At 48.9% G+C, this 26,461-nt stretch overlaps 3 protein-coding genes and 1 long non-coding RNA gene across 8 annotated transcripts in view, besides 4 other annotated features; 2 read left to right on the top strand and 2 right to left on the bottom strand.

The window, feature by feature from the left end:
• NUDC (nuclear distribution C, dynein complex regulator) overlaps positions 1 to 1,729 on the bottom strand; it is a 46,711-nt gene extending 44,982 nt beyond the window's left edge. Inside the window, exon 1 of one of the 4 annotated variants that reach the window (XM_047439143.1) lies at positions 810 to 1,729. The gene's annotated coding sequence lies outside the window, so the exon portion shown is untranslated. The remainder of the gene's footprint in view (positions 1 to 809) is intronic. The other 3 variants (XM_047439206.1, XM_024452486.2, XM_047439200.1) reach the window with 3 other exon arrangements.
• Positions 1,359 to 1,478: an enhancer, noted in NCBI's record as "active region_530". NCBI's record gives its function as "activates an Ori minimal core promoter by ATAC-STARR-seq in GM12878 lymphoblastoid cells {active_cell/tissue: GM12878}" and the evidence as "EXISTENCE:reporter gene assay evidence [ECO:0000049][PMID:35858748]".
• Positions 1,423 to 11,402, top strand: GPATCH3 (G-patch domain containing 3). Of its 2 annotated transcripts, NM_022078.3 has the most exons (7): positions 1,423 to 1,898; positions 4,165 to 4,589; positions 7,480 to 7,654; positions 8,442 to 8,501; positions 9,099 to 9,220; positions 9,352 to 9,479; positions 10,664 to 11,402. In NM_022078.3, the coding sequence occupies exons 1-7, from the start codon at positions 1,448 to 1,450 to the stop codon at positions 10,878 to 10,880; spliced, it is 1,578 nt and encodes a 525-aa protein (NP_071361.2). In that variant the 5' UTR covers positions 1,423 to 1,447; the 3' UTR covers positions 10,881 to 11,402. The 2 variants fall into 2 exon arrangements, with proteins under 2 accessions (NP_071361.2, XP_047283474.1); XM_047427518.1 differs by lacking the exons at positions 8,442 to 8,501; positions 9,099 to 9,220; positions 9,352 to 9,479; positions 10,664 to 11,402 and adding an exon at positions 4,769 to 4,800 and having other exon boundaries at positions 7,480 to 7,635.
• Positions 11,264 to 11,533: an enhancer, noted in NCBI's record as "active region_529". NCBI's record gives its function as "activates an Ori minimal core promoter by ATAC-STARR-seq in GM12878 lymphoblastoid cells {active_cell/tissue: GM12878}" and the evidence as "EXISTENCE:reporter gene assay evidence [ECO:0000049][PMID:35858748]".
• Positions 11,569 to 12,446: an enhancer, noted in NCBI's record as "H3K27ac-H3K4me1 hESC enhancer chr1:27215935-27216812 (GRCh37/hg19 assembly coordinates)". NCBI's record gives its function as "activates a minimal SCP1, AML or CMV promoter by ChIP-STARR-seq in naive H9 embryonic stem cells {active_cell/tissue: H9 hESC(naive)}" and the evidence as "EXISTENCE:reporter gene assay evidence [ECO:0000049][PMID:30033119]".
• On the top strand, positions 11,607 to 25,758 carry GPN2 (GPN-loop GTPase 2). The gene is made up of 5 exons (NM_018066.4): positions 11,607 to 12,204; positions 12,765 to 12,921; positions 15,757 to 15,917; positions 17,600 to 17,730; positions 22,141 to 25,758. The coding sequence occupies exons 1-5, from the start codon at positions 11,794 to 11,796 to the stop codon at positions 22,211 to 22,213; spliced, it is 933 nt and encodes a 310-aa protein (NP_060536.3). The 5' UTR covers positions 11,607 to 11,793; the 3' UTR covers positions 22,214 to 25,758.
• Positions 12,044 to 12,213: an enhancer, noted in NCBI's record as "active region_528". NCBI's record gives its function as "activates an Ori minimal core promoter by ATAC-STARR-seq in GM12878 lymphoblastoid cells {active_cell/tissue: GM12878}" and the evidence as "EXISTENCE:reporter gene assay evidence [ECO:0000049][PMID:35858748]".
• On the bottom strand, positions 23,645 to 25,756 carry GPN2-AS1 (GPN2 antisense RNA 1). Its single transcript, NR_199049.1, has 2 exons — positions 25,580 to 25,756; positions 23,645 to 23,772 (listed from the first exon to the last, which is right to left on the bottom strand). It is a non-coding gene; the product is annotated as a GPN2 antisense RNA 1 (long non-coding RNA).

The raw sequence follows: 26,461 nt of genomic DNA, 5'->3' as shown, positions 1-26,461 counted from the left end.
CTTGCCAAAGTGCTGGGATTACAGGCGTGAACCACTGAGCTTGGCCCTTTATTTTTTGCTTTTGTTTGAGGTCTCTCAATCTACAGGTTCCTCCTATCACCCAGTATAATGTGTAGACTTTGTCTGAATTATGAATCAATGAATCAATAGTAATCAAATAACCCAATTAAAAAACGTACAAAGAGGGCCGGGTGCGGTGGCTTACATCTGTAATCTCAGCACTTTGGGAGGCCAAGGCGGGTGGATCACCTGAGGTCAGGAGTTCGAGACCAGCCTGACCAATATGGTGAAACCCCGTCTCTACTAAAAATACAAAAATTAGCCGGGCGTGGTGGCACGCACCTGTAGTCCCAGCTACTCGGGAGGCTGAGACAGGAGAATTGCTTGAACCCGGGAGGCGGAGGTTGCAGTGAGCCGAGATCGCACCATTGCACTCCAGCCTGGATGACAGAGCGAGGCTCCATCTCAAAAAAAAAAAAAAAAAAAAAAAAAGACAAAAAGGCGGGGACCGTGGCTCACACCTGTAATCCTAACACTTTGGGAGGCTGAGGCCAGTGGATCACTTGAGCCCTGGAGTTCAATACCAGCCTGGGCAATGCAGTGAGACCCCATCTCTACAAATAGTTTAAAAAATTAGCCAGGCATAGTGGGTTGCATCTGTGGTCCCAGCACTCCAGCCTGGGCGACAGAGCGAGACCCCAACTCAAAAATAAATAAAATATTACCTACAAGTGCTGAGTCAAATGATGTGTAGCTTTGCTTTTACTAGATAACGCCAATTGTTTCCCAAAGTGGTTGTATCAACTTACATTTCCACCAACAGTGTATGAGAGCTTCAGTTCCACCATGTTGTCATCGACTCTAAGGTTTTAAAGTTTGCCAACATAGTGGATGCAAAGTGGGTCTCGCTGCATTTCTTTTATTATTGAGTTGTGCATCTTTTCTTTAACGTAAGCCTCTAGTAACTCATAGCACTTTCATTGTAAATTGGACCTGCGTGTTTCCTCTTTTGCGAAGTATCTTCGGCCCATTTTTCTACCGGGTTATCTTTTTCTTACCGATTTGTGGGAGTTCATCAACACATTTTGGAAAAATAAATGGAAGAACGACTAAAGGTTCAGAACTGAGGAAGGTTGAGATTAGGTGTGCAATATCCACAACTAAATACCTCAAAAATGACCCCTCCCGCAGGCTTCTTATTTGGTCCTCATGAGAGCTTTATGAAAGAACTCTATGACCCCATTTTCCAGGTGAGTTTTTCCATCATCGCCGGCTTCCCTCTGTGGGAAAGGAACACAGAAGACTTCGGATCTTCCAGCTCCAGGTTCCACAACCCCAATCCCAAAGGACTAGTTAGAATTTTCACAATCTCGCAACGCAGGGGCTGGAACGTTGCTCGCGGTGTTCTCGCGAGACTTGGTTCTAGCTGATCATGTGACAATCCAAGATGGCGGTGCCCGGCGAGGCGGAGGAGGAGGCGACAGTTTACCTGGTAGTGAGCGGTATCCCCTCCGTGTTGCGCTCGGCCCATTTACGGAGCTATTTTAGCCAGTTCCGAGAAGAGCGCGGCGGTGGCTTCCTCTGTTTCCACTACCGGCATCGGCCTGAGCGGGCCCCTCCGCAGGCCGCTCCTAACTCTGCCCTAATTCCTACCGACCCAGCCGCTGAGGGCCAGCTTCTCTCTCAGACTTCGGCCACCGATGTCCGGCCTCTCTCCACTCGAGACTCTACTCCAATCCAGACCCGCACCTGCTGCTGCGTCATCTCGGTAAGGGGGTTGGCTCAAGCTCAGAGGCTTATTCGCATGTACTCGGGCCGCCGGTGGCTGGATTCTCACGGGACTTGGCTACCGGGTCGCTGTCTCATCCGCAGACTTCGGCTACCTACGGAGGCATCAGGTAAGAGTGAGAAAGTTAATAGACTGGGCCTACGGGCCTGGAACAGAGGCACCTTTTCAGAGGAGTGGTGAGGATAAGTCAGGCCTCTGGTTAGGACTCTATGAGTTTAGTTCATATTCTAGACAGAGCTTCAGGCTCAACTTGCAGGGAGTTAGTCCAATACATGGAGAAAAATAAACCGGAGAGGCTTATTCGGAAGAGCCTTCATTTTGTTAGGTCCCTTTTGAGACCCTTTCTCTATCCAAGGGGTTGATTTTGCACTAACACAGAAAGAAAAAAGGAAATCCAGTCTCTAACCCTTTTACTGTCTTTCTCTCCTGCTCTCTCTGTGCTTCCTACCCAGTCCTTTCAGTAAGATACAAATGAAGAGACAATCTTTTCTCTGGACAGCTCCCACTTTCATGGGAAATCAGTTTGATGGGGAAACAGGACAGTGCAGAGCCCTCCAGTTCACACATTCAACAAATGCTTACATTGCTAGACCTAGTGTGACTAGCTGGGTATGCAGAGAACAGTTGGACATAGTGTGTGCTCAGAATCCACAAAGGAAGACATTTGGAAAAAGGTTATTGCCACAGAGATGTCATTCTAATTGTTAGCATTCACTGAGCACTCTGTATTTAGTAGGCGCTGTTCTAAGCCTTTTGTTTTCTTACCCCTCTCAACAGTCCTATGAGATAGGAGCTGTTGTTTCTCCCATTTCATAGGTGAAGAAACTGAGGGAAGCCGAAGTTATGTGACTTGCCTGAGGTTACAGAGTTAGTTAGTGTCAGAGCTACAACAAACCTAGGCATCTGTTCCAGAGCCTATACTGTTTATCACCAAGTGCTGTGAGATGACAGAGAAGGGAGAAACTAACTTCCTAGATGGATCATGAAATGTGGCTTTCCATCTGGGTCTTGAAAAATAAATAGGAGTTAATAGGAGAGAATGGTGTTTCTGGGTTTCAGGGTAAATGGCGTTTGCAAAGACACAGCTTTGAAAGCCCGTGAAAAACTTTCAGGGCATGTTAAATTGTTCATTGTGGGCTGGGTTGCAATGGCTCGTGCCTGTAATCCCAGCACTTTGGGAGGCACAGGTGGGTGGATCTCTTGAGCTCAGGAGTTCCATACCAGCCTGGGCAACATGGTGAAACCCTGTCTCTACCAAAAATACAAATTAGCCGGTTGTGGTGGCGCATGCCTGTAGTCCCAGCTACTTGTGAGGTTGAGGTGGGGGGATCACTTGAGCCCAGGAGGTGGAGGTTGCAATGAGTCAAGATCGCGCCACTGTACTCCAGCCTGGGTGACAGAACGAGACCCCATCTCAAAAAAAAAAAAAGAAGAAAAAAAAGAAATTAGGAGAAAAATTGTTTGGTGTGGCTGGAACACATCGTATGAAGACATGCAGGAGGTGGGAGTTGGTGACAGCCGAGAATCAAAAGGTCATCAGGTGGGTAGATATCACTTGAGGCCAGGACCAGCCTGGACAACATGGCGTAACCCTGTCTGTACTAGAAATACAAAAATCAGCCAGGCATGGTGGCACATGCCTGTAATCCCAGCTACTTGGGAAGCTGAAGTATGAGAATCACTTGAACCCGGGAGGCGGAGGTTGCGGTGAGCTGAGATTGCACCACTGCATACGCCAGTCTGGGTGACAGAGTGAGAATCTGTCTCAAAAAAAAGAAAAAAAAAGTTCATCAGGAGCCAGAGCTGGAAGAAACTTGTATGCCCAGCCAAGGTGATGAGAAGTGACATGAAACTACTAGGTAGTTCTGTAGTTCCGCTTGGGGAGAGATGAAAAGACCTGGAGAAGTTTGAGAGGGAGGAACAGCATGAGGCTAATGGATTTATTTTATTATTTATTTATTTATTTTTGAGACAGGGTACTCTGTCGCCCGAGATGAAGTGCAGTGGTGCAATCTTGGCTCACTACAGCCTCACCTCCCAGGCTCAAGCAATCCTCCTGCTTCAGCCTCCCAAGGAGCTGGGATCACAGGGTGCACCACCACTCCCAGCTAATTTTTTTATATTTTGTAGAGATAAGGGTCTCACCATTTTGCCCAGGCTGGTCTTGAACTCCTGAGCTCAAGCAATCCTCCTGCCTCAGCCTCCCAAAGTGCTGGGATCACAAGCGTGAGCCACTGTGTCGGCCTAGATTTTTACTAGGGATTTACTAGATGTTTACTAGGGAAAGGCTAACAGATTTAAACATTGGCCAATTTCTGGCTCAAGTGTTGCTGGAGGCTTCTGGGTTTCAAGATCTATTCTCCCTCCTTTCCAAGGTCTGGGCTCCTTTCCCTTCAAGACCCGGAAGGAACTGCAGAGTTGGAAGGCAGAGAATGAAGCCTTCACCCTGGCTGACCTGAAGCAACTGCCGGAGCTGAACCCACCAGTGCTGATGCCCAGAGGGAATGTGGGGACTCCCCTGCGGGTCTTTTTGGAGTTGATCCGGGCCTGCCGCCTACCCCCTCGGATCATCACCCAGCTGCAGCTCCAGTTCCCCAAGACAGGTTCCTCCCGGCGCTACGGCAATGTGCCTTTTGAGTATGAGGACTCAGAGACTGTGGAGCAGGAAGAGCTTGTGTATACAGCAGAGGGTGAAGAAATACCCCAAGGAACCTACCTGGCAGATATACCAGCCAGCCCCTGTGGAGAGCCTGAGGAAGAAGTGGGGAAGGAAGAGGAAGAAGAGTCTCACTCAGATGAGGTGAGTACAGTGTGCTACCCTGTCCTTGCTGGCAGCTGAAAGAGGCCGAAGGCATTAATAATACCACTCTTCAATTGTCTATTACAAGGGTTCTTAACCTGGGGTCCTCAGGAGGGTTCCAAGGAGTCCAAGAAGGAATGTAAAACTATATTTGCATGTGTGTTTCTGTATTTCTGTAGGGAGATGGTCCAGAGCTTTTACCAGAAGATTCGTAAGTGGGTCTTATTTTTCATTCCCTTGGAAGGGATATATAAGGATGGTTCCTTTTTTTTTTTTTTTGAGACGGAGTCTTGCTCTGTTGTCCAGGCTGGAGTGCAGTGGCACGATCTCGGCTCACTGCAAGCTCTGCCTCCTGGGTTCACGCCATTCTCCTGCCTCAGCCTCCCAAGTAGCTGGGACTACAGGCGGCCACCACCATACCCGGCTAATTTTTTGTATTTTTAGTAGAGACGGGGTTTCACTGTGTTAGCCAGGATGGTCTCAATCTCCTGACCTCGTGACCCGCCTGCCTCAGTCTCCCAAAGTGCTGGGATTATAGGCGTGAGCCACTGCGCCTGGCCAGGATGGTTCCTCTTTATTCATTTTTTTCTTTTTTTTTTTGAGACAGAGTCTCACTGTGTCACCCAGGCTGGAGTGAAGTGGTGCGATCTCGGCTCACTGCAACCTCCACCTCCTGGGTTTAAGTGATTCTCCTGCCTCAGCCTCCCGAGTAAGCTGGGACTTCAGGCATGTGCCACCACGCCCGGCTAATTTTTTTTTTTTTTTTTATTTTTAGTAGAGACAGGGTTTCACCGTGTTAACCAGGATAGTCTCAATTTCCTGACCTCGTGACCCACCTGCCTCGGCCTGCCAAAGTGCTGGGATTACAGGCATGACCCACTGCGCCAGGCCCATTTTTTCTTTTTTAAAAATTATTTCCAGCCGGGCACAGAAGCTCTTGAACCCAGGAGGCGGAGGTTGCAGTGAGCTGAGAAAAAAAAAAAAAATTCCACATGAAAGACCAGATAAGGAGAGTTCATTTTCATAGATGAAAATGTGCTGACCAAAACATGTGCAGTGACTTGTCTAAGATCATCTCAGGAAATAGAGGTAGAGCTGGGATATGAACCCAGTTCTTGCTTCTTCTCTAACCTGTGCGTGCTGTCATAATGTGGCTGAACAGTCATCTCTATTTTCTGACCTAGAGTCAGCAGATTGAACAGTAGCCTCCACTCTCACTTCATTAGTGACATAGACATTTCTTTGGTTCCTTTCTCCAAACTTGGTTGCACATCCATAAAATCAAGTAAGGTGTGATTTGTTGGGAAAACTTTTTTAAAAATGTGTACTCCGGGTAAAAAGTAATTCACCCATGTTTCAAAGCTTCCAGCCAGCTGGGTGCAGTGGCTCACACCTGTAATCCCAGCACTTTGGGAGGCCAAGATGGGTGGATCATTTGAGGTCAGGAGTTCGAGACCAGCCTGGCCAACATGGTGAAACCCCACCTTTACTAAAAATACAAAAATTAGCCAGGCGTGGTGCCTGTAGTCCTAGCTACTGGGAGGCTGAGGCAGGAGAATCACTTGAAGCCAGGAGGTGGAGGTTGCAGTGAGCTGAGATCGCACCACTGCACTCCAGCCTGGGCGATAGAGTGAGACTCTGTCTCAAAAAAAAAAAAGCTCCCAGCCAAGATTGCTAAGACATCTGGACCACATCCCTAGTGTGGTACCATCCTGACTTCCCCTCTCCTCTTCTCTCCCCTTCCTTCCTTCCTTTCCTTTTTTTTTTTTTTTTTTTTTAAGCAGGCTCTGGTTCTATTGTCCTGGCTGGAATGCAGTAGTGCAATCTCAGCTCACTGCAACCTCCAACTCCCTGGGCTCAAGCCATCCTCACCTCAGCTTCCCTAGTAGCTAGGACTACACTCACACATCACCACACTTGGCTAATTTTTGTATTTTTTGTAGAGATAGGGTTTTGACTTGTTGCCTAGACTGGTCTTGAACCTCTGAGCTCAAGGGATCCTCCCACCTTGGCCTCCCAAAGTGCTGGGATTACAGGCGTGAGCCACTGCGTCTGGCCCCATCCTGACTTTTCTTCAGCACTTGAAGGCCTACAGGGTTTCAAGCTAGGAGTCATTGTATCATTCCACAAGTCCCGTCAAGCCAAGGGCTAGTGTAGGATTCCAAAGGCATTCTAAGACCCATTTCCTGCCCTCAAAGAGCCTAAAATCTCCCTGAAGAGAAAGAACCAGCATCTGGAGATGCTGCACCTGGATGTGGCCACCCGGGTTTGCATTGCTGGCTCTGCTGCTCCCTCAGTGTACTCTTTTGGACAAAGAACTTTTTACTCCCCTGAACCTAGGTTTTGTCATCTGTAGAATGGGAATAATGGTACTTATCTCATAGGGTTGTTGCAGTGGTTAAAGGAGCTAAGCTATGGGAAGGGCCTGACACACCAGAGACAATAAGCATTATTGTCCATTCTTTCTTTGTGATATGACATAAAAAGGCCTAACCAGTGTGTACTGATTAGCATTGGGAGTTCAGAGACTGGTATGAGAGCTGTGGGCCTAAATGTGGGGGGCTTCATGTAGGCTGTATGACTTGAGGGATGAGGAGGATTTAATCAAGTGGAGAAGAGAAGGGTGTGGGAGAGGAAAGTGGGTATTTCAGGCAGGGAACAACATGGCCAAACGCGCAGAGGTGAGTCAGGCTTGTGGGGACAGGAGCAAACTGTTGAGAATTATCGGGCTGGAGACGTGTTGGTCAGGGGCCAAATATGTGCTGCTTCTTGGAGAAATCTGAAGGAATGGCGCTGAGGCTAGCCACACATGCCTCCTGTGCCCTGAGCTTCCCTCCCTCGGGGCATGAGGTCAGGAAGCTCAGGCAAATCACCTCTCCCTGCCTTTTAGGACGATGACCGGGGTGAGGAATGGGAACGGCATGAAGCGCTGCATGAGGACGTGACCGGGCAGGAGCGGACCACTGAGCAGCTCTTTGAGGAGGAGATTGAGCTCAAGTGGGAGAAGGGTGGCTCTGGCCTGGTGTTTTATACTGATGCCCAGTTCTGGCAGGAGGAAGAAGGAGGTAATGCTGGTACCCAGGCAAAGGCAGGGGTGACCCCTGCTGCATTCTTTTGGGGTTCCCTGTTCCACACGGTAGATTCTGTAGTGGTGAGCCCAAACAAAAGGCTAGGGAACAGGCTGACCTCTATTGTATACGAGAGACCAATCATCCTTTTTAAGAGTGGGGATCAGTGAGATGGAGAGAAAATGCCCCCCGCCCCGCCCCCAACAAATTCTGAATAACCCTCCCAGAGGAAGGATCTTAAAATACAAACAAGCTGGGTGCAATGGCTCATGCCTGTAGTCCGAACTACTTAAGAGACTGAGGCAGGAGGATCACTTGAGCCCAGGAGTTCAAGGTTGCAGTGAGCTATGATTCCACCACTTTACTCCAGCCTGGGGGACAGAGTGAGACCTTCTCTAAAACAAACAAATGCCCCGCTGGGTGCAGTGGCTCACGCCTGTAATCCCAGCACTTTGGGAGGCTGAGGTGGGCAGATCACGAGGTCAAGAGATCGAGACCGTCCTGGCCAACATGGTGAAACCTCGTCTCTATGAAAAATACAAAAATTAGCTGGGTATGGTGGCATGCACCTGTAGTCCCAGCTACTTGGGAGGCTGAGGCAGGAGAATCACTTGAACCCGGGAGGCAGAGGTTGGAGTGAGCCAAGGTCATGCCACTGCACTCCAGAATGAGATTCTGTCTCAAAAAAAAAAAAAAAAAAAAAGCCAAAAAAACTCTAGGTTTAACTCTTAATAGAACTGAGAGTCCTTAATGTACTCTGTTGGATGCTTTTCTGTCCCTACAGATTTTGATGAACAGACAGCCGATGACTGGGATGTGGACATGAGTGTGTACTATGACAGAGGTACTGGGCAAGGAGTGGCAATACTGGAGGTGAAACAGGTGCCCTGGCCTTGCAGTGACACTTTACCAGAGCTAGCAAAGGCTGAGACAGGGTACCGTTCCCGTTCCCTTGGGGTAGCCCACTGAGAGGGTTCCTCTTAAAACATCTTTGGTTGTGTACATTAAGTGCTAGTTTTGGACAGAGCCTTCATCCTTTCTTGGAGGAGGAGGAGGGATAGATAGCCCTTAGGGGCTCTAGGTCTGATGGTCAGGCCCTGGTAGGGTGGGCTGGTCAGAAGCTCAGGCTCTAGTAAGGGTTTAGATTTTAGAAGAGGAAATGACCCGGGTGGGGGAAATAGCCAAGTAGGGGAGGGAAGACCTGGGTTCTAATCCTCTCTCTGTCATTTGTTGGCTCTGTTACTTTTCTGCACCACAATCTTCTCATCTGTATGATTGGGGAGAGCCATGGTTCCTACTTTTGGGGAGCTCCCAGTCTAATGAGAGAGATACAGAACACTATTAAAATGAATAAGTCAATCTTACGAGGGGGTCCTAGAAACCTGATTCTTCCCCCTTCTTTGAGAGGGACGCTTCCATAAACTGAGCTCTGTTTCCTCAGATGGTGGAGACAAGGATGCCCGAGACTCTGTCCAAATGCGTCTGGAACAGAGACTCCGAGATGGACAGGAAGATGGCTCTGTGATCGAACGCCAGGTGGGCACCTTTGAGCGCCACACCAAGGTGAGTTAGCACTGTGCCCACCCCATGGACCCCTCTCTTTTCCTTCTCTACTTTAATTCCTTCTCCCATCCCCATTCTCCCTGCTCCCAGCAGGAGCCCCATTTCTTGAGTCTTGTCCCTTCACTCTGCAGGGCATTGGGCGGAAGGTGATGGAGCGGCAGGGCTGGGCTGAGGGCCAGGGCCTGGGCTGCAGGTGCTCAGGGGTGCCTGAGGCCCTGGATAGTGATGGCCAACACCCCAGATGCAAGCGTGGATTGGGGTAAGTGTGACTGAGGGACTTCCCTGGGGGCCCAAGCCTTTCAGCTATGCCCTGGTTTCCCTCTTCCCACTGGTTTTGGCATGGCTGCTGGGTACTCGTGCGGGATGAAATTCAAAACAGTTAAGAGGAAAAAGTGGATCTGGGCCAGGCACGGTGGCTCAAGCCTGTAATCCTAGCGCTTTGGGAGGCTGAAGTGGTAGGATTCCTTGAGCCCAGTTTGAAACCAGCCGGGCAACATATGAGACTGTCTCTGTTAGAAAAATAAAAAGTCCGGGCGTGGTAGCTCACGCCTGTAATCCCAACACTTTGGGAGGCCCAGGTGGGCAGATCATTTGAGGTCAGGAGTTAGAGACCAGCCTGGCCAACATGGTGAAATCCCCGTCTCTACTAAAAATACAAAAATTAGCCGGGCGCAGTGGCTCATGCCTGTAATCCTAGCACTTTGGGAGGCTGAGGCGGGTGGATCACGAGGTCAGGAGTTTCAGACCAGCCTGATCAAGATGGTGAAACCCTGTGTCTACTAAAAATACAAAAAATTAGCTGGGCACGGTAGTGGGTGCCTGTAATCCCAGCTACTCAGGAGGCTGAGGCAGGAAAATCGCTTGAACCCAGGAGGCAGAGGTTGCAGTGAGCCAAGATGGCGCCACTGCACTCTAGCCTGGGTGACAGAGCAAGACTCTGTCACAAAAAAAAAAAATTAGCTGGGCATGGTGGCATGCGCCTGTAGTCCCAGCTACTCTGGAGGCTGAGGCAGGAGAATCGCTTGAACCCAGGAGGTGGAGGTTGCAGTGAGCCGAGATCACGCCATTACAATCCAGCCTGGGTGACATAGTGAGACCCCATCTCAGAAATAAATAAATAAATAAAGTAAATCTGACTTTTTTTTTTTTTTTAAAGAGTAAGCCCTAAGGCTTAACAAGATCATTCATACCCTTTGTTGGAGGAGTTTGGACTTGATGGTTACTATTAGGAAGTCTGTAGTGACAGAATGAAAATTTTATATGAGGCCCCTTCTTGCTGGCACTGTCAATGGATAGATAAGAGGGCTGGAGAACAAAGACCCAGATTTAAAGCCTCTGTCTTTGGACAAACCAGATATGTAGTAACTACTTCCCCGTCCTCTCCCAACCCCTTTAACTGGAGTTTGAGAGCAGCCTTCTCACTGAGAGCCCGTTTTTATCCAGGTACCATGGAGAGAAGCTACAGCCATTTGGGCAACTGAAGAGGCCCCGTAGAAATGGCTTGGGGCTCATCTCCACCATCTATGATGAGCCTCTACCCCAAGACCAGACGGAGTCACTGCTCCGCCGCCAGCCACCCACCAGCATGAAGTTTCGGACAGACATGGCCTTTGTGAGGGGTTCCAGTTGTGCTTCAGACAGCCCCTCATTGCCTGACTGACCGGGTTGGGGGCTTCCTTTCATAGCTACATGATGAAAACCCTCTGCCCTGGCCTCATCTACCACTGAAGCAGAAAGGAGTCTGGGAGCAGCAGTCTTCGTGGCTGGTTCAGGGTGTTTTGTTCCGAGCCTGCCTGCCTGCCGGTTCTATACCTCAGGGGCATTTTTACAAAAAGCCCCCTCCCGTCCCCTCCCCTTGGATATTAGGGGTAACGACCGCTTGTCTTTGGTCTCTAACCCTAATCTCTGGGCTTGCCCTTTGCCTCCTGCAGAACTTTGAAAAGCTGGGTTGAGTGAGGCTATCAGCACAGCCTTCCTTGGGGACTCTGAAGGTGTCCCCACGAAGGCCAGAAAGGGGGAAAGGGACCTGGGCGAGGAGAGGATTTGTGGTGCTTGGAAGAGCCGGCCTTGGGTGGGCCCTCCACCGCCTCTACCCTCACTGGGTGGGACTGCCAGCGGAGAGTCCGCGGGAGGTGGCTTGGGTGTGCGACGTCACGGAAGAATAAAGACGTTTACTACTGGAGCTCCCTTACTTTTCTAATTCGAGTCTGAAGGTTAGAGAAATTCCGAGAGCGATTTTCCCGCAAAGACCCCACATTCGACCCACTACCCGCGAGAGAAATGCGGCTGCGCCGCCCGCCCCTCGGCGTCTAGCTTCGTCCCCGCCGTGAGGGCGGGACTTCCTCTCGTTGGCTCGCCGTTTCCGACGCTGTCCGGAAGTCGAGTTAGTCTAGTTAGTATCGGCCTGTTATCTCCTTTTGCGCGACACGGTCTCAGCTGTTCCGCCTGAGGCGAGTGACGCTGGCCGCCAACGAGGTATACGTACTGGGACCCTCGCCCTCAGTCTCGTCTCCGGCGCGGCTACCTGCCCCGTTTTCCCTGTGAGTTGACCTGCTCCGGGCCGCGGGCCGCCAATGGCAGGGGCCGCTCCGACCACGGCCTTCGGGCAGGCGGTGATCGGCCCGCCGGGCTCAGGGAAGACCACGTACTGCCTGGGCATGAGTGAGTTCCTGCGCGCGCTGGGCCGGCGCGTGGCGGTGGTGAACCTGGACCCGGCCAACGAGGGGCTGCCGTACGAGTGTGCCGTGGACGTGGGCGAGCTGGTGGGGCTGGGCGACGTGATGGACGCGCTGCGCCTGGGGCCCAACGGCGGCCTGCTCTACTGCATGGAGTACCTGGAAGCCAACCTGGACTGGCTGCGTGCCAAGCTCGACCCCCTCCGCGGCCACTACTTCCTCTTCGACTGCCCAGGCCAGGTGGAGCTCTGCACGCATCACGGCGCCTTGCGCAGCATCTTCTCCCAAATGGCGCAGTGGGACCTCAGGGTGCGTCTCAGGGCGGGGAGGCCCATTTTGCGGATGGAGTAACTGAGACAGGGAGGACAGACGCCACGCCCCCATGTCACACAGGGAGGTAGGGGCTGGGTCGCTTTGGAGTAAAACAGGCATGAGTTCAGAATCTGGCTCTGCTACTGACTGGCTGTGTGGTGTTGATAAGTCAGTTCATCACTCTGAACCTCAGTTTCCTCACGTGTAAAATGTGTTAGTAGCCAACTTGGCGATTTTGGAAGTATGGAAGGGGTTAATGTCGAAAGTGGCATGGAGATTGTTGTAAATTGGTGGGCAAAAGTAAATGAAAGAGTGGAGTCAGATGCCATGGGATTTAAACCCCTTGCCCACTGGGAGGCTCAGTGCAAGACCTCTTGTAAGAAAAAAAAAATGACTCCTATTTCCTGGGAGAAGGAAACCAGGGTGGTTATTAGAAAGAAACAGAGGCAGGAGACTAATGGGGAAAGCTTCCCCTCTGTCCTCAAGCCCTCATTCTCATGAGGGAATGCTGATCCCTGTTTCTCCAGGCCACTCTCACCCTGTCTATTCCCTCCCAGCTGACTGCCGTCCACCTCGTGGATTCTCACTACTGCACAGACCCTGCCAAGTTCATTTCAGTACTGTGTACCTCCCTGGCCACCATGCTGCACGTGGAACTGCCCCACATCAACCTCCTTTCCAAGATGGACCTCATTGAGCATTATGGGAAGCTGGGTAAGAGCTTCTGTTCCAGGCGAAGAGCAGGGCAGCAGCTGGGCTAGAATGAAGCAGACATCTCAGCTGAAGGTAGCTGCCTCTGGTGCCTTGCGTGGTCTGGTGATAGTAGCCACAGGCAGGTTCTAACTCCTGCCCATTTATTTTGTGCCACTCTGTGCTAGTTACCGTTGTAGATTTTGGAGACAAGAGAGCTACAGATGGTGTTAGGTGTTACAAAGGAATTAAAGTGATACGACAGTGAATATTTGGGAGTGAAGTGAGTGAGCTTTGGAGTAAAACAGGCATGAGTTTAAATTCTGGATCTGCCACTGAATCATCGTGTGGTCTGGGTAAGTCAGTTCATCTCTCTGGACCTCAGTTTCTCACTTCTGCTCTGAAGCAGTGGCATCTGAGCTGAGACATGAATGGTGAGAAGGAGCCAGCCAAGGGAGGACTGTTCTATGCAGAGGCACTAGTAGGAATAAAGGCCTTGTCTTAGTCAGTTTGTGCTGCCATCACAAAAATACCATAGACCAGATGGCTTAGCCAATAAATATTTATTTCTCACAGTTCTGGAGGCTGGTAAGTCCAAGATCAAGACACAAGCCGATCTGGTGTCTGGTGAGAGTCTGCTTCCTGGCTCCTAGACAGCCTCCTTCTGTCCTCACAGAAGGAGGCTATATTCTCACCTGGCACAGAGACAGAGAAGGGGTGGGAGGCCAGGGACAAAATAGGGAAGATTGAGGTAGAAGCAGGCTGGTATGAGGCAGGGGAGTTGGCTAGAGTCCCAGTGGCCAGCTTTTTTTTCTTGATAAATTAGTACTCTCGGCTGGGCGTGGTGGCTCACGCCTGTAATCCCAGCACTTTGGGAGGCCGAGGTGGGCAGATCACCTGAGGTCAGGAGTTCGAGACCAGCTTGACCAACATGGAGAAACCACATCTCTACTAAAAATACAAAAAAGTAGCCAGGCATGGTGGTGCATGCCTGTAATCCCAGCTACTCGGGAGGCTGAGGCAGGAGAATCGCTTGAACCTGGAAGGCGGAGGTTGTAGTGAGCCGAGATCTCGCCATTGCACTCCAGCCTGGGCAATAAGAGTGAAACTCCGTCTCAAAAAAAAAAAATTAGGCCAGGCGCAGTGGCTCACGCCTGTAATCCCAGCACTTTGGGAGGCCGAGGCAGGTGGATCACGAGGTCAGGAGCTTGAGAACATCCTGGCTAACACTGTGAAACTCCGTCTCTACTAAAAATACAAAAAATTAGCTGGGCATGGTGGCGGGCACCTGTAGTCCCAGCTACTCAGGAGGCTGAGGCAGGAGAATGGCGTGAACCCAGGAGAGGGAGTTTGCAGTGAGCCGAGATCATGCCAGTGCACTCCAGCCTGGGCGACAGAGCAAGACTCTGTCTCAAAAAAAAAAAAAAATTAGTACTCTCCTGAACTGGGGACATTGTTCCCTAAATAGCATCTCTAGCAACAAAGGAACCTAGAGAAGACAGATAAAATGACCAGCACATGAGCAATAGGGAGGTTGTTGGGAAAGGGAGGTGTCGGGACCTTGTCCAGGGAGGCCAGTTAGCTTCTAGTCTGGACATGGAGTGATGTAGAGTCCTCAGCTTACTTTAGGATAGAGCTGCCAGGGAGCCCAGATACTTAAGTTTTCTGGGCAGAAACAGGCCACTAGGGGGAAGTCCAACTTACTTCTTTTAGTGAGAAATGATTTATAAAACTGAATCAGGGACCTCAGCATCATCTAGTCCTTATTTTACATTAAGAAATAACTGGCTCAGAAAAGGAAAGTGATTTACCCAGGAGGCTACCCTGCTAGAATGTAGCATTTATTCAGTTTAACCATTTACAGAGTCTTTGCAGTGTATGTGCCAGGTCCTGAGGGTATGACCTGACTATGAGCTCTGTGAGGTGAGGACGACCATGCACAGTTCTTGGTACATACTTGTTATCATTATTTGCAACTTTTTTTTTTTTTTTTTTTTTTGAGACAGAGTTTCGCTCTTGTTGCCCAAGCTGGAGTGCAATGGTGTAATCTCGGCTCACTGCATCCTCCGCCTCCTGGATTCAAGCGATTCTCCTGCCTCAGCCTCCCGTGTAGCTGGGATTACAGGCATGTGCCACCACGTCCGGCTAATTTTGTATTTTTTTTTCTTTTTTTTTGAGACGGAGTCTTGCTGTGTCGCCCAGGCTGGAGTGCAGTGGCGCGATCTCGGCTCACTGCAAGCTCCCCCTCCTGGGTTCACGCCATTCTCCTGCCTCAGCCTCCTGAGTAGCTGGGACTACAGGCACCCGCCACCACGCCCAGCTAATTTTTTGTATTTTTAGTAGAAACAGGGTTTCATCGTGTTAGCCAGGATGGTCTCGATCTCCTGACCTTGTGATCCGTCCATCTCCCAAAGTGCTGGGATTACAGGCTTGAGCCACCGCACCTGGCCTAATTTTGTATTTTTAGGAGAAATGGAGTTTCACCATGTTGGCTGGTCTTGAACTCCTGACCTCAGGTAATCACCCACCTCGGCTTCCCAAAGTGCTGGGATTACAGGCATGAGCCACCGTGCCCAGCCTGTTTGCAGTTATTGATCAAGCACTTCTCTGTACCAGACACTGGGGTTTATAGCATTTAATCTTCATAACAGTCCTATGAAGTAGATACCTGCCTATATAGCTAGTAAATAGCAGAGCCAGCAGGTAAAACCAAATGCTTTTTTTCTTAGTAACTTCATTTTACTGTGTCAAGAAATATTTGAGTGCATGAGTGCACAAAGGAAAAAAGGAAAAAGGAACCTCGTCCTCAGGTCTTTAGCCTGATACTGGTTGCTCCTGAACACTGGTTTCTCTCTTTAGCCTTCAACCTGGACTACTACACAGAGGTTCTGGACCTCTCCTACCTGCTTGACCACCTGGCTTCTGACCCTTTCTTCCGCCACTACCGCCAGCTCAATGAGAAGCTAGTGCAGCTCATCGAAGACTATAGCCTTGTCTCCTTTATCCCTCTCAACATCCAGGTACTAGGGGCTAAGACGGGACTCTTGACAGTGCATGGGATTCACCAAGCCAAAAGCACAGGAAGCTTTGAGGGCTTAAAGAATGGTCTTTGCCGGCTGGGCGCGGTTGCTCAAGCCTCTAATCCTAGCACTTTGGGAGGCCGAGGTGGGCAGATCATGAGGTCAGGAGATCGAGACCATCCTGGCTAACCCAGTGAAACCCCGTCTCTACTAAAAATACAAAAAATTAGCTGGGCGTGGTAGCAGGTGCCTGTAGTCCCAGCTACTCAGGAGGCTGAGGCAGGAGAATGGCGTGAACCCGTGAGGCAGAGCTTGCAGTGAGCCGAGACCACGCCATTGCTCTCCAGCCTGGGCGACAGAGTGAGACTCCATCTCAAAAAAAAAAAAAAAAAAAGAGTGGTCTTTGCCCTGGGTTGAGTATCACTGAGAGTAACCTTAGTTTCAGGACCAGGGGCTGCTGTAGGGGCAGAATTCCAGTAAAGAGAGTGGACCAAACTTTTGCCCTGTCTATTTTGTGTTGCTGGATCCTCTCTTCACATGTTCTGTCCTCTGTGAAAATGGGTGAGTTCAGAAAGTCATCAGCAAGAAAGTTCACCAGGACCAGGGACAAGTCTCTTAAGCCCTTTCAACTGGGCAACTGTCTGTTGACTTTGCAAAGTGGTACCCAACCCCTGTGCCTCTCACCTTTACCCTGCAGAGATAACCTGGGAGACGCAGGTGCATGTTAGATTCCTTTCTGCAGTGGGTGGACTTGAGCTAACTTGTCTCCTCCCTTCTAATGCCACACTCTTCTGATATGAGGAGATGAACTCTATAATATCAATCACAACAATTACCTCTTATTTATGGCTTTCTGTGCTGGGCACTGTGCTAAGGACTACACATACATAATTTTGCTTTGTCCTTCCCACCATGTGATATATGGACTGTTCTTATCACTGTATGTGGATGAGGAAACAGTTATAGTTTTTTTTTGTTTTGTTTTGTTTTTTGTGACGGAGTCTCACTCTGTCACCCAGGCTGGAGTGCAGTGCGTTATCTTGGCTCACTGCAACCTCTGCCTCCTGGGTTCAACCGATTCTCCTGCCTCAGCTTCCCAAGTAACTGGGATTACAGGCATCCATCACCATGCCCAACTAATTTTTGTATTTTCAGTAGAGACAGGGTTTCACCATGTTGGCCAGGCTGCTCTTGAACTCCTGACCTTAAGTGATCTACCTGCCTTGGCCTCCCAAAGTGCTGGGCTTTACAGGTGTGAACCACCGTGCCTGGCCCAGTTATAGATTTAAAACATGCATATTCATTGGATGTCTACTTAAGAGAAGTACTGTGCCAGGCACTGGGAATACTGCGACAGATGACCTGGCCCTAAGGGGTGTTTAGTTGAGTAGGGGAGGCAGGTGAGTTAATAGGCGTTTATTACATGGCAGGGATACCATGTACAATAGGTGTAAACCCAGGGGACTGTGGATATGCATAGGGGAGCTTATCTGTTCTAATCTGAGTGAGTTGGTGGTCAGGAAACATGAGATTTATCCAGCCTTTGGGGACATGTAGAACTACTCCAGGCCAAGAAAGCTACAGGTACAGAGGCAAGATGGAGGAAGGTGTATTTAGAGATTGCAAGCAGTTTTACATACTTCTGTTTCACTCACAGAACTGTTTCTCTCCTCCCTGCTCAGGACAAGGAGAGCATCCAGCGAGTCCTGCAGGCTGTGGATAAAGCCAATGGATACTGTTTCAGAGCCCAAGAGCAGCGAAGCTTGGAAGCCATGATGTCTGCCGCAATGGGAGCCGACTTCCATTTCTCTTCGTATCCTTGCCAGCTTCCTGGCCATAGCAGAGAGGGTGAGACATGGGACTCAAGAATGGCCACAGGAGGTGCAGTCATCAACCTTGTGGATGACCAATTTCTTTTTTTTTTTTTTTTTTTGAGATGGAGTCTTGCTCTGTCGCCCAGGCTGGAGTGCAGTGGCACGATCTCAGCTCACTGCAAGCTCTGCCTCCCGGGTTCACGCCACTCTCCTGCCCCAGCCTCCTGAGTAGCTGGGACTACAGCCACCCACCACCACGCCCAGCTAATTTTTTGTATTTTTAGTAGAGACGGGGTTTCACTGTGTTGGCCAGGATGGTCTTGATCTCCTGACCTTGTGATCCACCCAATTTCTTTTTTCTTTTTTTTTTTTGAAAGGGAGTTTCGCTCTTGTTGCCCAGGCTGGATCGCACAATGGCGCAATCTTGGCTCTGTGTAACCTCTGCCTCCCATATTCAAGCAATTCTCCTGCCTCAGCCTCCCAAGTAGCTGGTATTAGTGTGCGCCACTGTGCCCAGTTAGTTTTTATATTTTTAGTAGAGACGGGGTTTCACCATGTTGGCCAGGCTGGTCTGGAACTCTTGACCTCAGGTGATCCACCTGCCTCAGCCTCCCAAAGTGCTGGGATTACAGGCATGAGCCACTGCGCCCGGCCGTGGATGACTGATTTCATATTGATCAGTTGGGCTTCCTGATGACTGTCTCTCATGTGCAAAGGTGGTCCCTTGGCTTCAGAGTTGGTTGTACTGAGGACAAGAGAGGATATTGATCAATAGGAGTAACAAATACAGAGGCCCAGAAATGAGAGGGCATTAGTCATTCGGGAGAGATGCAGGAGTCCAGTTCCTGGTGTGTTGCATGTGAAGAGGAAAGGGCGTTGCAGGGGTACAGGCAGGGCTGCCGAGGGAGGGGCCTGAGTGCCCTACTAAGGAATGTGGACTTCAGTTCATGGGTGGGCAGTGGGAGCAAGTATTCAAGCAGTACTGTTGAACAGGGTGTGACACAATCAGATGTACATTTTAGAAAAGCCCCTGCAATTGTGGAAAATGCATTTAAGGGACGTGATTGGGGGCAAAAGAGTTTTACAGTCTTGCTAGGTGAGAAGGGTTGAAAGATTTGTAGTGAGAATAGAAAGAAAGGTGTAGAATGGAAAAATACTAAGGAGATAGACTGTAAGAGTCAGTGACTGAATGGGATAGATGGAGCTGGAGTAGAACTTAGCTTCCCAGATCTCTGGCTTAGACGGTGGGTGGTTGTACTAATCACTGAGGCAGGAAAAGGAGGAGGGAGCAGGTTTGTCACATGGATGAAAGGGACAAGAGCTGGCAGATGTGCTGTGTTCAGGGGTCCATGGGACATCCAGAGCTGTCCAAGAGGCAGCCAGACTTTTGGAGCTTGGTTAGTGACTAATGAGGCTGGAGCCAAGGTCATGGGTAGGTGTCCATCAGGTCACAGAGGCCATGCGTGAAGCAGGACAGAAAAGTCCAGGCCCTCTAGGCTGATGCTCTCACAGATTCAGCATCTATGCAGCATGCTGGAGACAAGGGGGACTCAGGAGTCTTAGGGTATAGAGGAAAATAATTCCAGCCAACACTTACTGATGTTTCTCGAGCCATATGTGGGAAACAAAGCTCATGGGGTCGGGGTTGGAGGAATGACTTATAAATGATGGCAGTAGAGTGTGCAGTCCCTGATGAAGGTACTAAGGAGCTGCGTCACACCTGCAGTTAATGTAGGCCAATTGGACTGCATGTGCTCAGCAAAAGAGGGGAGGAGCAATTTTTTTTTTAAATTTAAGATGGACTTTCTTTTGCTGTTGTTGCCCAGGCTGGAATGCAATCTCCAACTCCAGGGTTCAAGTGATTCTCCTCCCTCAGCCTCCTAAGTAGCTGGGATTACAGGCATGCTCCACCACACCTGGCCCTTTTTTTTTTTTTTTTTTGAGACGGACCGTCAATCTTGTTGCCCCAGTTGGAGTGCAATGGTGCAATCTCAGCTCACTGCAACCTCCATCTCCCACGTTCAAGCAATTCTCCTGCCTCAGCCTCCCGAGTAAGTGGGATAATAGGCGCCCGCCACCACGCTCAGCTAATTTTTTGTATTTTTAGTAGAGACAGCGTTTTACCATGTTGGCCAGGCTGGTTTCGAACTCCTGAACTCAGGTGATCCACCTGCCTTGGCCTCCCAAAGTGCTGGGATTATAGGCGTGAGCCACCATGCCCGGCCTGCAACTTTTATATTTATTTCTTAGAGGCAGGGTCTTGCTCCTTTGCCCAGGCTGGAGTGCAGTGATGCAATCATAGCTCACTGCGACCTTGAACTCCTGGGCTCGTTACCCTCCCACCTCAGCCTCCCAAAGTGCTGGGATCACAGGCATGAGCCATCGTCCCCAGCTGGGAAGGGCAGTTTATGTTTGTTTATTTTGTGAGGCAGAGTCTCACTCTGTTGCCCAGGCTGGAGTGCAGTGGCGTGATCTCAGCTCACTGCAGCCTTGACCTCCCTGGGCTCAAGTGATCCTCCCACTTCAGCCTCCTGAATAGCTAGGACTATGGGCGTGTGCCACTGTGGCCAGCTAATTTTTGTAGAGATGGGGTTTCACCATACAGCCTAGGCTGGGAGAAGCAATTTAAATAATGTAGTATTTTGTACACCGTACAGATGGTTCCCAACTTATGATGGCTCAACTTTATGATGGTGTGAAAGCTATATGCATTCAGTAGAAATCATACTTTGGGTACCTATCAATCATTCTTTCACTTTCAGTACAGTATTCAATAAATTACATGAGATATTCAATACTTTATTGTAAAATAGGCTTTGTGTTAGATAATTTTGCCCAAATGCAGCTAACGTAAGTGTTCTAAGAATATTTAAGGTAGGCGAAACTAAGCTATGATGTGTGGTAGGTTATGTGTATTAAATGCATTTTCGACTTAAGATATTTTTGATTTAGGATGGGTTTATCAGGATGTAACCCCATCATAAGTCAAGGAGCATCTGTACGTTACTTTATGTATTCGTATATATAAAGGATTCTATTCACAAAACCATGTATGCTGCATTTAACAAATAATTTGAGGAATTTTAAAGAGTATTTTTAACCATATACATTTGTGCTGATTTTAGATTCTGCCCTGACCCTAACCCCCTTAAGATTCAGCAGCTCTCTGTAAGAGAGTAGGGACTGATACAAATAAGGGAGTGGTCAGCTTTGCTGAAGGGTAGGTGGGTAAGGAAAGCTTTATGGAGGCATGACACGTGAGTTGTGTCATTTCAAGGTGAGGGTTAGCCAGTCTAATGAAGAAGAAAAGGGAATTCAAGTTAAGAGAACATGCAAAGGCATAGGGGTTCAAAGTTGAGACAGGTTTCAAGGGTTGCAAATAAGATGGCATGGGCCAAGTGTAATGGCTTCATGCCTGTAATTCCAACACTTTGGGAGTTAAAGGTGGGAGGATTGCTCAAGGCCAGGAGTTTGAGACCAGACTGGGTAACATAGTGAGACCCCATCTCTCTCTCTTTTTTTTTTTTAAAGTATAAAAATTTATTTTTGGCCAGGCGTGGTGGCTTACGCCTGTAATCCCAGCACTTTGGGAGGCCAAGGCGGGCGGATCACGAGGTCAGGAGATCGAGACCATTTCTGTCAACATGGTGAAACCCTGTCTCTACTAAAAATAGAAAAATTAGCTGGGTGTGCTGGCATGTACCTGTAGTCCCAGCTACTCTGGAGGCTGAGGCAGGAGAATTGCTTGAACCAGGGAGTTGGAGGTTGCGGTGAGCCGAGATCGCGCCACTGCACTCCAGCTTGGTGACAGAGTGAGACTCTGTCTCAAAAAAAAGAAAAAGAAAGGTCTGTAACTCGAACATCATTTGGTGGGCTAAGTGCTTTACTTGCAGGGTCATTTAATCCTCATTTCAACCCCTTTTATAATTGAGGCGACAGGCCCAAGGTCCCTCTCCCGGGATGTTTTGGAAGAACAGTTCAAACCTTGGTTTTGGTGGGTGTAGAATCTGTTTCTTACTTTGGAGCCATCTGGTAGTACAACAGCCATGGTGTCCTAACATAGCCAACCTAGCCATGGCTAACCTCCATGTCCTCGTCAGACCCCAGACCCAGACATCATCAGGTTTTGAACTCCCTTAGTCTGGCTCCAGAGCATGTGCCATAACGCAAAATTGCAAGGTTAGTACTGTCCAGTCCTTTGATCCGCAGCAGTGTGTGGAAGAGGCAGATAGAGGAGCATTTGAGTCTGGGTGTTTTTGGAGGCTTCTCATACCTGATTGGTCCCTATAATTATGAGGAAGAGAGGGATGGACATGGTTGGAGTGTAGGCATCAGCGGAAGTCAGATCCTGCCCAGACCAGCTCCCCATCCTCTGCCTATGCTATCAGCCTTGACGCACCCTTCCTCAGCACACTGGGCATCCAGGAGAAGTACCTGGCACCCTCGAACCAGTCAGTGGAGCAGGAAGCCATGCAGCTGTAGCAACAAGGTGGACCCTGGAGAGCAGGATGCATAATCCAGCACTGGGGAAAGTGGAGGCTCCTGATGCAGGCTGCAGACCCAAGAGCAAGTCCTCCCAGCCAGAGCTGGCGGGCTGGCAAGGGGATATTCAGCTCTGCAAAGGACTTCTGGCCAAAAAGCCAGACATGGTGCCAAGCAGAACACCCCCCATACTGTCAGTGGTGTCCGTGAGCTCTGGGCCCTGCCACCAGAAAGTCGAGCACTGGTCCTAGTCAGGCTGTGATGAAATGTGCTACAATACAAGAGTTTATTTTCTACTTTTTGTGACTTCCAAACTTTTCTTCAGTCTTCCGGGCCCAGGGGTTTGGGGAAGAATGAGGGAGTGTCACCTAGCCTTGGAATAATCAGTATTTCCCCAAAGCATATAATTCACATTCAGTCACATAGGATTTACATTCAGTCTCCAGTCATGTGTTTTTATTAATCTTCAGTTTTTGGTTCTGAGGTTTGTTTTTTAAAAGATGGGGTCTTGCTATATGGCCCAGGCTGGACTCAAACTCCTGGGCTCATGTGATCTTCCCGCCTCAGACGCCTGAGTAACTGGGACTACAGGTGTGAGCCACCATGTCCCACAATTTTCAGTTTTAACAGAGCCTCAAGCTTCAGCTTTCACAGGCAACACTTCCTAACTAGAACTTTGTTAATGTTTTATATTCACTGTATTTGTTTTATGGTTTTATTCTATTGTTGACAAGTGTTAACTAGTTTTCCATTTACAGTAGTGGTTAAAAGTTTACTTCAAGGCTGGGTGCGGTGGCTCACGCCTGTAATCCCAGCACTTTGGGAGGCCGAGGCAGGCGGATCCCAAGGTCAAGAGATCGAGACCATCCTGGCCAACATGGTGAAACCCCATCTCTACCAAAAAATTTTTTTAATTAGCTGGGCATAGGTGGCGCGTACCTGTAGTTCCAGCTACTTGGGAGGCTGAGGCAGGAGAATCATTTGAACCCAGGAGTCAGAGGTTACAGTGAGCTGAGATTGCACCACTGCACTCCAGCCTGGTGACAGAGCGAGACTTTGTCTCAAAAAAAAGGTGTACTTCAAAAATGAAATACAAGGCTGGGCGTGTTCACTCATGCCTGTAAGCCCAGCACTTTGGGAGGCTGAGGCGGGCGGATCACCTGAGGTCAGGAGTTCGAGACCAGCCTGGCCAACATGGTGAAACCCCTCTCTACTAAAAACATAAAAATTAGCTGGGCATGGTGTTGCACGCCTATAATCCCAGCTATTGGGGAGGCTGAGGCAGAAGAATTGCTTGAACCCAGGAGGCGGAGGTTGCAGTGAGCCAAGATTGTGCCTACATTCCAACCTGGGCGACAGAGCAAGACTCTGTCTCAAAAAAAAATAGTAAGTTGTGTAAAGAAAAATATTAATTATATAATATGGCAGTTCCTATGAGAGTGTGGCAAAAATCAAGAGGGCTTGGAAGTTTTTTCTTTGCTCTTGCAACTGGCTGGATGCAGTTCATATATTTTTCAACCAGTAGGTGGCACCCCAACCTAATTTTTTGCAGTTGTAACCTGGTGGCAGAAGGGGCAGGACTGATGGCTTGGGCAAGACTGTTATGCCAAGTTTTATTTGCATGTATTTGGACTTTCTTTTTTTGGAGACAAAGTCTCTCTCTGTCGCCCAGGCTGGAGTCCAGTGGCACAATCTCGGCTCACTGCAACCTCCGCCTCCCAGGTTCAAGCAATTCTCTGCCTCAGCCTCCCGAGTAGCTGGGATTACAGGCGCCTACCACATGCCCGGCTAATTTTTGTATTTTTAGTAAAGACGGGGTTTCACCATGTTGTTCAGGCTGGTCTTGAACTACTGACCTCATGATTTACCCGCCTTGGCCTCCCAAAGTGCTGGGATTACAGGCGTGAGCCACTGCACCCGGCCACATTTGGACTTATTAACACATATGAAGTGCTTGGTATTTTAGAGTGCTTCCACACACACAATCCTCATTAGAGATAGACAGGATGGGGAGAATTAATAAGCCATTGCCCGTGTTACAGTGAGGAAGCAGAAAGATGAGAAGTTTGAACTTTGGTCAGCCTGGCTTTCTCATAACCCATTTTGCTGACTAAATTGCGAGTATCCCTCCTTTGGTATATTTATTGGTGAGAAGTCACAGCCCTTGTCCCACAGGTTTTGCAGCCAATCAGGAGAAAGAAATTAGGCACCTGTAAAGTATTACTGAATCATAGATAGTTCACCAGTGGTTTGGGCAGTTGGCAAATTAATTTAGGGACATCTGTTCTGAAACAGCATTGAAATAGGACTGACTGCTTTGCTTTCTGGTTGTGGCAGCCAGAGCCAAAGGCAGATGAATGAGGGGCTATGAGGAGGCTACTGTGGCTGGAACAGTATGAAAGCAACCTCAGCTCCCACGCCTGGCTGTAAAGGGGATAATAACTGGGTGCTGCTTCCCAGCCTCTTTCATCTGAGAAGTTCAAAGCACCTCACCCCTATTAACACCCCACAGAGTAGGTAGGAAGTACCAATAGAGCAAGCCAGGAAAACTGAGGCCAGGAGGCACAGCCTGGGGCTAGCTGTGAATCACCTGTGGGGCCTAGAGCCCAGGAATCCTGACGCCCAGGCTACTGGACAAATCCTTTATCAGGGCATTAGGGTGGGTGCTATGCTTTTGAAAGCAGTACCAACGGCTGTGGTCGTGGGTTTTGATGCTTGCCACTCACAGAGGCCCCAGCTCTCACCATAACAAACCAAATGGGGGCTGGAAGGCATCCTTTACAACTTTATGGTCTCGTATGCAAGCACCCTCAGCATTCTCTGCACCCATGGAGTGGAGATGGGTGGGAGTAATCCAAGGCCTTTATTTTCAGGCCATGGTTTGACAGCAAGGGTATTTTCTTCCCCAATAAACGTAGCTTCTGTCTACCTTCCACTGGCAGCAAAATGATTTTCTGTTCTCTGCATATACTGAGGGGATCTGCACAGTGCAGAAAGGAAGATGTCCGAGATCCAAGTGAGGCCTGTTCAGTGTGAAATGTCTAGGGTAGAAGAAAGACCATCCTCCATTATGGCTGGCATGTGGCAGTCATCCTTAAGATTATTTTTAAATTTCCTAATAAATATAGGAAAGTAAAAAACTTAGAAAATGAAAGAGAAGGCCGAGCACGGTGGCTCACGCCTGTAATCCCAGCACTTTGGGAGGCCAAGGCGGGCTGATCACCTGAGGTCAGGAGTGTAAGACAAGCCTGACCAACATGGTGAAAACCTGTCTCTGCTAAAAATACAAAAAAATGAGCAGGGCATGGTGGCATGCGCCTGTAATTCCAGCTACTTAGGAGACTGAGGCAGGAGAATCGCTTGAACCTGGGAGGCGGAAGTTTCAGTGAGCGGAGATCGCGCCATTGCACTCCAGCCTGGGTAACAAGATGGAAAGTACATCTCAAAAAAAAAAAAAACGAAAATGAGTCACCCAGAATCCCATAACGGAAACTTTCTATGGGGTCATCTGTTTAAGAGAAAAATAAATTCTATATTCAAATGTATATTTTGTGTATTCTCTTTTTTTCTCATCTCTGTAAATACCTGGAGATATTTTATGTATTCTTTCAGCCTTATTTTTATACCTGGGGTGGATATTGCATTTATATAAGTGGGATATTTTATAATTGTGTTGTATCCTGCCTTTTTCAGTTAACACCATTCCATGTAATAAAAAATAGATACAATTCCTGTAATTCTAGGACTCTGGGAGGCTGAAGTGGGAGGATCACTTGAGCCAGGAGGTGGAGGCTGCAGTGAACTATGATTGTGTCACTGCACTCTAGCTTGGGCAACAGAGTGAGACCCTGTCTCAAACAATCAAGTAAATAACCTTTTTAATGTCACTTTGGTAATAGTCCATGGTTTGGCTATAACATTGTTTACCTATCCATACTCCCGTGGTTAGCCTACTACTAGCCTACAAGTCATCACCAACTTTTACTTTTGTAAATAGTGTGATTAATATCCTCGTACCCAAATCATTGTCTGAGTCTCTGATTTTTAACTTGGGAGGTAGTCCTGGAAATGAAATAACTGACATATTCCAGGTTCTGGATTCATGTTGCCAAAATGCTTTCCAAAAAATGTGCCACTTTACATCTCACTGATAGTGTCTGAAATTGCTCTTCTCATCTCCAGACCTCCCTTGACAATTCTCTACAACTTCGGGAGGGAGGAAGCCCTCTCTGAGTGTCTTAGAAGGGA

Source organism: Homo sapiens, chromosome 1, assembly GCF_000001405.40.
Source record: "Homo sapiens chromosome 1, GRCh38.p14 Primary Assembly".
Lineage (NCBI taxonomy): Eukaryota > Metazoa > Chordata > Mammalia > Primates > Hominidae > Homo > Homo sapiens.
Note: the sequence above shows the minus strand (reverse complement) of the source record. Positions and strands in the feature narration are given on the sequence as shown.

What these genes read in the sequence shown, in the direction of transcription:
- GPATCH3 (NM_022078.3), top strand. Translation starts at nt 1,448, where the DNA reads ATGGCGGTGCCCGGCGAGGCGGAGGAGGAGGCGACAGTTTACCTGGTA. An exon ending in GCTACCTACGGAGGCATCAG is followed by an intron (nt 1,899 to 4,164) that starts GTAAGAGTGAGA and finishes CTCCTTTCCAAG; the next exon opens with GTCTGGGCTCCTTTCCCTTC. An exon ending in AAGAGTCTCACTCAGATGAG is followed by an intron (nt 4,590 to 7,479) that starts GTGAGTACAGTG and finishes CCTGCCTTTTAG; the next exon opens with GACGATGACCGGGGTGAGGA.
- GPN2 (NM_018066.4), top strand. Translation starts at nt 11,794, where the DNA reads ATGGCAGGGGCCGCTCCGACCACGGCCTTCGGGCAGGCGGTGATCGGC. An exon ending in TGAGCATTATGGGAAGCTGG is followed by an intron (nt 12,922 to 15,756) that starts GTAAGAGCTTCT and finishes TTCTCTCTTTAG; the next exon opens with CCTTCAACCTGGACTACTAC. An exon ending in GCCGACTTCCATTTCTCTTC is followed by an intron (nt 17,731 to 22,140) that starts GTATCCTTGCCA and finishes ACCCTTCCTCAG; the next exon opens with CACACTGGGCATCCAGGAGA.